Source organism: Homo sapiens, chromosome 2, assembly GCF_000001405.40.
Source record: "Homo sapiens chromosome 2, GRCh38.p14 Primary Assembly".
Taxonomy (NCBI): domain Eukaryota; kingdom Metazoa; phylum Chordata; class Mammalia; order Primates; family Hominidae; genus Homo; species Homo sapiens.
Genome location: NC_000002.12, coordinates 113,097,573 through 113,109,752, shown reverse-complemented (window position 1 = coordinate 113,109,752; position 12,180 = coordinate 113,097,573). Strand labels below are relative to the sequence as shown.

General features: G+C 42.7%; 1 protein-coding gene across 4 annotated transcripts in view, besides 2 other annotated features; it reads right to left on the bottom strand.

The window, feature by feature from the left end:
- Positions 1-10,393, bottom strand: part of IL1RN (interleukin 1 receptor antagonist) — a 34,655-nt gene extending 24,262 nt beyond the window's left edge. For 3 of the 4 annotated variants that reach the window (XM_047444185.1, XM_011511121.2, XM_047444186.1), the window contains exon 1: positions 10,164-10,393. The gene's annotated coding sequence lies outside the window, so the exon portion shown is untranslated. Of the gene's footprint in view, positions 1-2,367; positions 2,540-10,163 lie in introns of all 4 variants that reach the window. The other variant, XM_047444184.1, reaches the window with a different exon arrangement.
- Positions 11,389-11,438: an enhancer, noted in NCBI's record as "active region_16411". NCBI's record gives its function as "activates an Ori minimal core promoter by ATAC-STARR-seq in GM12878 lymphoblastoid cells {active_cell/tissue: GM12878}" and the evidence as "EXISTENCE:reporter gene assay evidence [ECO:0000049][PMID:35858748]".
- Positions 11,519-11,658: an enhancer, noted in NCBI's record as "active region_16410". NCBI's record gives its function as "activates an Ori minimal core promoter by ATAC-STARR-seq in GM12878 lymphoblastoid cells {active_cell/tissue: GM12878}" and the evidence as "EXISTENCE:reporter gene assay evidence [ECO:0000049][PMID:35858748]".

The following is a 12,180-nucleotide window of genomic DNA, read 5'->3' as shown; positions in this document are numbered from 1 at the left end:
AGTTTAGAAGTGTCATACATTTGTTGAGAATTAAGTGCTTCATCACTATGTTGTGCCTTTCCCCCTTCCTGTTAGTGTTTTCTCAGTGAAATTCTGCTCTGATATAAAAGGGTGAACCCAGCTCTCTTCTAGTTAGTTTGACTGTGTTCTTCCATCCCTTTACTTTCAACTTTTCTGTGTTTAATATTTTAGGACTGTGTCCTGGAAATATCATTGCCAGATTTTAAAATCCAATCTGACAATATGTCTTTCAACTAGGAAGTTTAGTTCATTTTCATTTTTTGTAATCTTTAATGTATTTGGATTTGTTTTACTATCTTAATTTTTTTTTTTTTTTTTTTAGATGGCGTTTCGCTCTTGCTGCCCAGGCTGGAATGCAATGGCACAATCTCTGCTCACCACAACCTCTGCCTCCTGGGTTCAAGCGATTCTCCTGCCTCAGCCTCCAGAGTAGCTGGGATTACAGGCATGCACCCCCACACCCAGCTAATTTTGAATTTTTAGTAGAGATGGGGTTTCCCCATGTTGGTCAGGCTGGTCTCGAACTCCTGACCTCAGGTGATCCACCCATCTTGGCCTCTCAAAGTGCTGGGATTACGGGCATGACTTAATTTTTTATTTTATTTTAGCCCCTTTTCAATGCTTCTTTTTCTCTCTCACCTTATTATTTATTTTGGGTGGGGTGTTGGTGGTTGCTATTGTTTTCTTATTCCATTCCCCTTCCCATATTGATTTAGAAGTTATATACTCTGTTTCTCTTGTTTTAGTGGTTACTATTAAATTTTTGTCATGACTATTTTACTTCTCAGGGTCTAAAATTAATAAATATCTAACCCCCTACCCAAAAAAATATGATTTATGAGTATTTTTAACCTTGATCATCTCCCTCTCAACTTATAGGCTTAACATTTTAATTTGTCTTAACATTTTAGTTCTGCCCTTTTTCTAACCCCACATTTCGACTTATTTTTCAAAGATTTGTTTAGATTATTCTACGTTTCCTGTTTTCTTCCTCACCATTTTTTACTGACATCCAAGGTCCCCTGTGGTAAGCAGAATAATGCCCCTACTCCACCACCCGCAATTCCCACATCCTATTATTCCCTTGGGCCTGTGACTATGTTAGGTTACATGGCAAAAAAGAAATTAAGGTTACAGATGGAATTGAGGTTGCTAATCAGCTAACCTTAAAATAAAGAGATTATCCTGGATTATTTAGGTGGACCCAATCTAATCACAAGGGTCCTTAAAAGTAGAGAAAGGAGGCAGAAGAGGTCAGAGTGATAAGATAAGAGAAGGGAAGGGGAACATCGCACACTGGGGACTGTTGTGGGGTGGGGGAGGGGGGACGGATAGCATTAGGAGATATACCTAATGCTAAATGATGAGTTAATGGGTGCAGCACACCAATGTGGCACATGTATACATATGTAACAAACCTGCACGTTGTGCACATGTACCCTAAAACTTAAAGTATAATAATAATAAAAAAAATTTATAACCCCCCCCAAAAAAAAAAGATAAGAGAAGGACTCGACTGCCACTGTTAGCTTTGAAGATGTGGGAAGAAGCCACTAGCTAAGGAATGCAAATGCCTCTAGAAATTAGAGAAACATCATCTCCAGAGCCTCCAGCAGCCCTGCTGATACCCTGATTTTAGCCCAGTAAGACTTCTGACCAGAAATCAGGAGGTTAAATTTCTGACCTACAGAACTGAAAGATAATTTCGTGTTTTTTAAAGCCACTAAGTTTGCAGTAATTTCTTAGAGCAACTAATAAGAAACTAATATACCAGACTTTAGGGATCATTTTTCTTCCTTTTGAAACATCCTTAGATATTCTTATCAGTTGTAACAACACAAAAGAATAAATGCTTGAGGTGATGAATACACCCAAAAAAAATTTTAAAAAGAAACATCCTTACATATTCGTTTAGGAAGTAATCTCATTCACTGTTTATCCAGAAATGTCTTTATGGTGTACTTCTTGAAAGATTGGTTTGGTTTGGTTTGGTTTGGTTTTGAGGCAGTCTCACTCTGTCACCCAGACTGGAGTGCAGCAGCATGATCTCAGCTCACTGCAACCTCTACCTCCTGGGTTCAAGCGATTCTCCTGCCTCAGCCTCCCAAGTAGCTGGGATTACAGGTGCACACCACCACACATGGCTATTTTTTTTTTTTTTTGTATTTTTAGTAGAGATGGGGTTTCACCATGTTGGCCAGGACGGTCTCAAACTCCTGACCTCAAGTGATCCACGTTCCTTGGCTTCCCAAAGTGCTAGGATTATAGGCGTGAGCCACCACGCCTGGCCAAAAGATATTTTTGATAGGTACACAATTTTATATTAACAGTTAGTTTTTCTCTCACCATTTTCAAGATGTCTTTCAACTGTCTCCTTGCTTTCGTTGTTGTTGAGAAGTCAGCTGTCATTCCACTTGTGAAATAATATCTTTAGCTTTGGTGATTTACAGATTCATTACAATGTATCTCTGGTGAATTTCTCTTCATTTATCCTTTGTAAAAGCTGTGTTTCTGAGATCTGTAGATTCATCTATTTATCAGTTCTGGAATAGTCTCAGACATTAACTCCTCAATATTGGTGCACTCTCTCTATTTTCACCTTAAGGTGCTGTGATTAGATGTCTATCAGGTCTTCTCATACTATCCTCATAGTGTCTTAACATATCTGCCATATATTAAATTACCCTATTTCATCATTTTGCATTCTGTGTAATAGTTTTTTAAATCTTTCAGCACAATAGTTTTCTTTAACTATATTCATTTTGCTGTTTAAACCTATTGACTTGAGTTTTTACTTCAATAACTGTATGTATTATTTCTAAAAGCTCAAAATTCTTTCTCAAATATGCCAGTTCATTTGTTATTCTTGCTTCTTGCTCACTTTTTAATTTGATTTATTTTCTTTAAATCTTTCAAACATAGTTATATTAAATTCTGAATCTGATAAGTCTGGTTTCTGAGGGCCTCAGTCTACTATTTTTGTTTTAGACTCTGAGGTTCCCACATCACTGGGACCACTTCATGCCTGAAGTTGAAAGTTTGAGCAGTGAGGTCAGATTCCCACCTGGTACTCTAAAGCCCACTTAGTGATAGCCTCAAAACTCTCAAAAAAAGGAAAGGAAAGAGAGGCCACATTAAGTTATTTATAATATTGACCCTCTAACACAAAATTTAACAATTAGCTCTTTGCTAGGACAGGTAAACACAAGCAATAATTAAACATTTTGGTTAAAGCAGTTATTATAGAACAATGTTGCTTAACCTGAGAGCATTTTGTGGATACACTTCAGGGGATCTATCAACCCATTTAAATTTTATGTACTAATTCATTTTGAGGATAAGAATGCATATCTCAAAATAATTTATAATCTTAAAAAGGTCAAGAATTACTGCCTGGGGAAAGCTTCAAAAATAAAAATAAGTTATTATTTTGTATCTTTATTCACTATCCCTTTGCTGTTCTTGTTCCTTATTCATTCCCTTGTTTAGCCTCTAAGAAAGACCCTTTGCTTATTTTATCACTGATTTTGGAGTCATACAAATTGGAAAGAAAAATACTAAATTCCAGTGAAGAAGTGAGCAAAGGAAATTGTGCAAAAAGTAGAATTTAGACAGAAAATAAAAATACAGAAAATGCTTAACTTTCATCAATAACAAGGGATTAATAGTTAAAATAAGCCATTAACAACTAATGAATTAGCAGAAAATAGGAAAAGCCCATTTTCCAACATTGGTGAGATGGCTATGAAATGGGATGCCAGCAATAGGCTCTTGTTCCAACTCTTCCAGAAGGTGATTGAGTGACATGTATCAAAAGTCATGAAAAGATTACTCATCTTTTGATCAACTAATTTCATTTCAGGGAACATTACAATATAAAATAATTCAAAGAATAAAAACCACATGATTATTTCAACATAGTTAAAAATAGCAAAACATTAGAGGTAACCTCAATGTGTTAAAAGGAAAATTAACTAATAATGCTACATTTATAGACAATTATACAGTTGTTTGAAATGCTTAATTTTGAATATGGGGTAGTAAACATGAAAAGTGCTTATAACACACTGTTAATGTCATCTCACCCAACTGGGGGATCAAAAAAGGGAAGAAGATTTCTGAGCTGCACAGTTCTCAGAAGAGATGGAACTCGGATGTCACTTTCTCCCAATTATAAAAAAGTTCTGAGCAGAAGGTTGTGCCTCATGATTGGATGACCATATTGTTTGAGTGGCAAACTGTGAAGCCTGTAACTACATATATAGAGTTTACATTTCTAATCAATTCTCACCTAAAATTTACCCTGATACATCTTTAATGAGTGACATAATGATTACTGAGCAGGATGATAAGTAAGCCCAAACATTTGTGTTGTCATGAGAGATGATATATAATCACCATGGCCCTAGTACTCAGCTGGAAATGTTAGGGTTTTCTTTTCACAGAATCTTCAGTCATTAGCTAGGCTAGCAGTAGCCCCTGACGTCATAAGCTCCTGACTCATCGTGTTCATCAGTCTAGTACTCACTCTTTCCAAACATGTCCACCATCTTCATGCCTTTCTATATATGTTCTCCCTCTACCCACAATGCGCTTCTAGCCAGAAACTCATCCACCCCTGAGCCCAGCTACGAGGCTACCTCCTCTGAAAGATCTCCTCCGTGCATTCCTCTATTGGTGTTACAACTTCCTTTCAGGGTTCCCATGTCTTTGTTTTTATATCTACATCACTACACTGTGTTATGGTAATTTGTGATTCCATCTGTTTTCCCACTGGGACTGGGAGTTTCTCAAAATCAGAACTATGTTTTAATTCATGGCAAAATAAATCAGATGTGGGATTTGGAGTTGGATAAACCTGGTTTTAAATTTCAGCTGGACCACTTACTAGCTACATGACCTTGCCCAAGTTACTGGGCCTTTCTGACCTTCTGTTTCTTATCAGTCCCATTATCAGTATAATGGGACTCAAAAAGAACCTGTCTCATAAAGCTCTTTGGCACACACTAAGTGCCCAATAAATGTTAGCCATGTACTCAGGCTTGTGGGCTACTGGGGTAAAGCAAGACCAAAGTCTTTGACTACTTGCTCAGCACCATACATAGAAACTAAAGGGAGGTGTTGAAATCCCAAAACGCCCCAGCTGCCTGAGCCAACAAGACTCCAACTCCAAGTCATCAGTTACTTTTCCGTCTCCTGGGAGCACTCAGACACTGCGGAAATCCCTTTGCATACCTTTTGCCCCCACCATGAGAAGGCCCAGGAATAGACATGTGGGGGCAGGAGGAGTCAGATTCTCTACCCACTACCCAGCCTTTCATCCCTCCCCTCACTGGGCCAACAGTCAGTGAGTCACTGCTAACATCCCCCAGAACACCCACTAGTCTTAGAGCTGGTGACTTCATGCTGTGAAGAAATTTTCCTCTGAGAAGCATCTCCTCCAGGTTACCAAAGATTCACTCCTCTCCAAGTACCATTGCCCTGAACTTTATTTACCTCTAACCTTTCAAAGTGACCAGCTAACACTGACAATACCTCTGCCTCACTTTGCATGTTACTAAGACTCCAGACATTTCTCAGGAACTCTCTTGACTTCCTTCCTCAGTGCTTCAGTAGAACCATAGTACCATGTAATGATGAAAATCACTCTGTCTAGTCTTAGTCACATCTCTTAACCCCTGGCCACTTACATGGGATGCTTAACTGAGAAAATTTGGTTTAAGAAAAAAAAAAAACACCCCTTGATGCCATAAAAATTAAATAAAATAACTTGGTGAAAGAACTAAAAACCTTGTAGGTACTCAACACATATTGAATATTACCTACTTTCTCCCTTTCAAAATATTGTTGCTCCTTCCTTTCTTTCTTTGAAGTCTGAGCTTTTGATGGACAGTTCCCCAATAATATTCATATGACACCCAGAATGTCCCAAACAGAATCCATCACCTTCCCACCCCACCCTCTGCTCTCCCCAACCATCTTTCTTCTGATTGCTGTATTTCTGTTGATAACACAACCCTTCTTGTATTAGTTTCCCATTGCTGCTATAACAAATTACCATAAACTTTGTGCCTTAAAACACAAATTTATCCTCTTACAGTTCTATAGGGCAGAAGTCTGACAGAGGTGACACTGGGCTCAAATCAAGGTGTCAGCACTGCTGTGATCTTTCTGGACTCTGGGGGAGAATCCATTTCCGAATCATTGCTAGCTGCTAGAGGCCACCCACATTCCTTGCCTCATGGCGGCATCACTCCAACCTCTCCGTTTATCAGCACATCTCCTTTGCAATTCAATCTCCTGTGTCCCTATTTTGAGAACGCTTGTTCTTACATTGGACACAACTGGATACTCCAGGAGAGTCTTTCTATCTTGAGATCCTTAGTTTAATCCCACCTGCAAAATCCTTTTTTCTATGTTAGGTAACACTTTAATTGACTCTAGACAGTAGGACACAGATGTCTTTGAGGGCCATAATACTACCTACTGCACTTCTTTCAGACTCCCAGGCCTGTGATATCAGGACCACCTGTGACTCCTCCACCTCCATTCCAATCCCATCTCCCCTCACAGGATGGAGTGATAGCACCAGGCCATGTGCCCACTCTGATCTACTGATACAGGCTGCCTGAACTATGATGCTGAGGACTGTGAAGTTGTGTCTTTGATTCCAAGAAAGTATTGTCCGATCAAGTAGTCATGTCTGCCGTGGGCATGGGATGTCAGGTCAGCATGAGTACTTTGCACCTCTATCCCAGCTCCTTCTGTGCCTTGTCAGGCCTCTGAGCCCAAGCTAAGCCAATGTATGCCCTGTGACCTGCACATATACATCCAGATGGCCTGAAGCAAGTGAAGAATCACAAAAGAAGTGAAAATGGCCAGTTCCTGCCTTAACTGATGACATTCCACCATTGTGATTTATTCCTGCCCCACCTTAACTGAGCGATTAACCTTGTGAAATTCCTTTTCCTGGCTCAGAACCTCCCCCACTGAGCACCTTGTGACCCCCACGCCTGCCCAAAGAGAGAAACCCCCTTTGACTGTAATTTTCCACTACCTACCCAAATCCTATAAAACCTCCCCACCCCATCTCCCTTCGCTGACTCTCTTTCAGACTCAGCCCACCTGCACCCAGGTGAAATAAACAGCCTTGTTGCTCACACAAAGCCTGTTTGGTGGTCTTTTCACACAGACGCACGTGACACGCCTGACCTCTCCTTCCCATGCCTACAGGCTTCCCCCTTCCCCAATTAGAGCTGCTTGTCCAAACCATTGCAATAGCTCTGTGTGAACTGAATCCCTCCACAATCCACATATCAAAGTCCTAACTCCCAGTGTGGCTGTATTTGAAGATAGAGCCTATAAGAAAGTAATTGAGGTTAAATAAGGGTGGGGCCCTAACACAATAGAATTGGTGTCCTTATAAGAAGAGGTAGAGACACCAGAGAGCTCTCACTGTCCCCGTGCCTGCACAGACACCAAGGAAAGGCCACAGTGAGAAGGTAGCTGTCTGCCAGCCAGCAAGTGGATGATCTGAGACTTGATCACAGCCTCCAGAACTGGGAGCAAATACATTCTTCCTGTTGGTTAAGCCACCCAGCCTGTGGTATTTTGTTATGGCAGTCTGAGGTGACTAAGACAATCTCCTTAAGAAAAAAAGTCTCGGGCGGGGCACGGTGGCTCACACCTGTAATCCCAGCACTTTGGGAGACCGAGGTGGGCAGATCACCTGAGTTCGGGAGTTCGAGACCAGCCTGACCAACATGGAGAAACCCTGTCTCTACTAAAAATACAAAATTAGCCGGGTGTGATAACGCACACCTGTAATCCCAGCTACTTGGGAGGCTGAGGCAGGAGAATCACTTGAACTGGGGAGGTGGAGGTTGCAGTGAGCCAAGATCACGCCATTGCACTCCAGCCTGGGTAACAAGAGAGAAACTCCATCTCAAAAAATAAAAATAAAAAAAGAATAAAAAAGTCTCTCTTCCCCAGCTCCAATCTGCCTTCTATGCTACTGCCAGATCTTTCAGAGCGGTGGTTTCTACATGTTGGTCCTTAGACCAGTGCCAGTTTTAATGATGAGCTAAATTAAATTAGAAAATCGAGAGCCCAGGGCTTGATATTTAAATATGTTGGGATGCTATTGTTAACTCTTCATTCTTGAGAAAGGCAGTCCTTTCTTCTGAGATCATGCTCACTGAGTGGAGAGGAAATGTAAAAATGGCCTTTCTTTTATGAAATAGTGGCTATAGTAGGTGCAACTTGTTATTTTTATTAATGTTCTTGTAAAAATTATAAGTTGTTTTCCCAAGTTTTTAAAAAGATTACAGGTATGAGATATTAAAATATCATTGAATGTCGGTTTTACATCACAGCTGTAATCACATCAGGCCTCCTGCTCCCAATCTTAAAATGTGAATGCCTCTTCCCACAGGTGGAAGGAAACCCCCTCGCTACCCTAACCCCTACTCCTCACCCCCACTGCGTCTACCAGAGAGGACAAAGGTCAACCAGCGAAGACAACTTTAAGACTCTTATCAGTCTGGAGATGGCACCAGGGGAATCTACATTAACAAGCTTTACAAACTAGCCTTTATCTGACATTTCGCCTTTCCACAAGTCACTACTCTTAGAGACTCAAAGTCCTTTTTAATTCCCTTGTCATGTCTCTAAAACTTTACTGTTCTTTGTTGAAGACACTATATAAGCTGGAATTCAAAGCCACCTCTTTGAAAGCTACTTATTCCCTGGGTGTCTCCCATGTATATAAGAAATATACATGTTAATTAACATCTGCTTGTTTTTCTCTTATTCATCTGCCCATTCCAACTAAGAACTTATGAGAACTGAGAAAAAAATATTTTTCCTCTCCTACAAAGTCTTCCTGATCGCCCATCCACTGGCAGTCTCCTCCTCACAGGTCACTTGGATCTTCTTTGTGGTATTTAAATCTTGGCTTGTTTGAGCTTTTTAGCCACCCTGTGCTAAGAAGGAGCATGAATATGTGGTGATTACAAACATGGCTTTCTGTCAGAACTGTCTAAATTTGATTCTTGTCGGCACCACTTACTAACTGGGATAAGTTCCTTAACCTCTCCGAGCCTCAGTTTCTGCATCTGTGCGATAGAGTGATAGAAGTGCCTCCTAAGTGGGGCCCTGTAGGAAATGCAATGGCACTGTGCCTGCAAGAGAAACCATTAGGTCAACCTCATAGCTGTGGTCCGGCTCATTCTTCTTTGTCTCCATAAGGGACCAGTGCTTGGCCTGACAGACTCCTGTCCTCCCCTTGTCATTTGCTGCTTCTCTTGTGACTAGCACAAGGCTCAGCTAGTACCTGTTGGCCTGAACATGAATACGCCTGGCCTCAAAATAATCTCCAGTTTTCCAGCCTTTTTTTTTTTTTTTTGAGACGGAGTCTCGCTCTGTCGCCCGGGCTGGAGTGCAGTGGTGCGATCTCGGCTCACTGCAAGCTCCACCTCCCAGGTTCATGCCATTCTCCTGTCTCAGCCTCCCAAGTAGCTGGCACTACAGGCGCCCGCCACCACGCCCGGCTAATTGTTTTTGTACTTTTTTAGTAGAGACGGGGTTTCACCATGTTAGCCAGGATGGTCTTGATCTCCTGACCTTGTGATCTGCCCGCCTCGGCCTCCCAAAGTGCTGGGATTACAGGCGTGGTCCAGCTTTTAAGAAGGAAGAGGGGCCAGTCGCGGTGGCTCACGCCTGTAATCCCAGCACTTTGGGAGGCCGAGGCGGGCGGATCACGAGGTCAGGAGATCGAGACCATCCTGGCTAACACGGTGAAACCCCGTCTCTACTAAAAATACAAAAAATTAGCCGGGCGTGGTGGCAGGTGCCTGTAGTCCCAGCTACTCGGGAGGCTGAGGCAGGAGAAGGGCGTGAACCCGGGAGGCGGAGCTTGCAGTGAGCCGAGATCCCGCCACTGCACTCCAGCCTGGGCGACAGAGCGAGACTCCGTCTCAAAAAAAAAAAAAAAAAAAAAAAAGAAAAGAAAGAAGAGGATGCTGAGGAAAAATGGCGGATAGGAGGCAGGACTAATTTGCAGCTCCCACTCAGATGAACAGAGCAGTGTATGGAGACCCACATCGTGAACTTTTGCTCCAAGAACTTCCACAGGAACATACCAGGAAAGCCGAGAAAGTCCACAGACCCTTTGAAGGAGGCGGATTGCCACTGCAGGCTCCATGGGACAGTCGAGGAACTGTGAGTTCGCTCGTTTTCTCAGCTGGGAGGCTTGTAGCCTGGAGCAAGTTCTCAGCCCTGCTCACCAGCTTCCTGGAAGTAAACTCATTGCTGTTGGTGGGGCATGGTGGGAGTGAAACCGGCCTTTAGGGCTGTGGGCTGCATGGGAGCTGGGTGAGGCCTGTGGCTGCCAGCTTTCTCCTACTTCCCAGCAACCTGTGTGACACAGCGGAGGCAGCCATAATCCACCTGGGAACAGAACTCGATTGGCCTGGGAACCACACCCCAGCAACCTGTGTGACACAGTGGAGGCAGCCATAATCCACCTGGGAACAGAACTCGATTGGCCTGGGAACCACACCCCCAGCAACCTGTGTGACACAGCGGAGGCAGCCATAATCCACCTGGGAACAGAACTCGATTGGCCTGGGAACCACACCCCAGCAACCTGTGTGACACAGAGGAGGCAGCCATAATCCACCTGGGAACAGAACTCAATTGGCCTGGGAACCACACCCCAGCAGCCTGTGTGACAGCGGAGGCAGCCATAATCCACCTGGGAACAGAACTCGATTGGCCTGGGAACCACACCCCAGCAACCTGTGTGACACAGCGGAGGCAGCCATAATCCACCTGGGAACAGAACTTGATTGGCCTGGGAACCACACCCCAGCAACCTGTGTGACACAGCGGAGGCAGCCATAATCCACCTGGGAACAGAACTCGATTGGCCTGGGAACCACACCCCCAGACCCCATAGCCGCCTTAGCAAGCCTGGCCCAAGGAGAGTATGAGCTCAGACACACCCAATCCTGCCCCTACCTGATGATCTTTCTCTACCCGCCCTGACAGCCAAATACAAAATACATAATCTCTTGGGAGCTTTAAGGCCAGGAGTAGGTCTCACCCACTGCCTGATCCTCCGTATACTGATGCATTCTTGAGAGCACCAACTCCTAGCTGGAGGCCAACCAACACAAAATCAGTGCAGTTAACAAAAATACAAGAACCCTCACAGAGTCTACTTCACTCCCCTGCTGCCTCCACCAAAGCAAGTGCTGGAATCCATGGCTGACAGACCTGAAGACGGATCATATCACGGGATTCTGCAGATACTCCCCAGTACTAGCCCAGAGCCCAGTAGCTCCACTGGGTGGCCAGGTCCAGAAGATAAATAACAATCACTGCAGTTCAGCTCTAAGGAAGCCCCATCCTTAGGGGAAAGGAGAGCAGCACATCAAGGGAGCACCCCGAGGCACAAAAGAAACTGAACAGCAGCCCTTGAGTCCCAGATATTCACTCTGACGTAGTCTACCCAAATGAGAAGGAACCAGTAAAGCTATTCTGGTAATATGACAAGATCAGAGCAGAACTAAATGAAATTGAAACCAAAAAAAATACAAAAGAAAAATGAAACAAAAACTGGTTCTTTGAAAAGATAAACAAAAGTGATAGACCATTAGCGAGATTAACCAAGAAAAAGAGAGAAGATCCAAATAAGCTCAATTAGAAATGAAATGGGAAACATTCCAATACTACAGAAATACAAAAGGTCATTCAAGCCTACTATGAACACCTTCATGTGCATAAACTAGAATACCTATAGGAGATGGATAATTTCCTGGAAATATACAGCCCTCCTAGATTAAACCAGGAAGAAATAGAAACTCTGAACAGACCAATAACAAGCAGTGAGATTGAAGTGGTAGTTAGAAGTAATTGTAATGGAAATGGTAACAACAAGAAAAGTCCAGGGCCAGATGGATTCACAGCTGAATTCTATCAGACATTCAAAGAAGAATTGGTATCAATACTATTGACACTATTCCAAAAAATAGAGAAAGAGGGAATCCTCACTAAATCATTCTATGAAGCCAGTATCACCCTAATGCCAAACTAGGAAAGGACATAACAAAAAAGAAAACTATAGACCAATATCCCTGATGAACATGACACAAA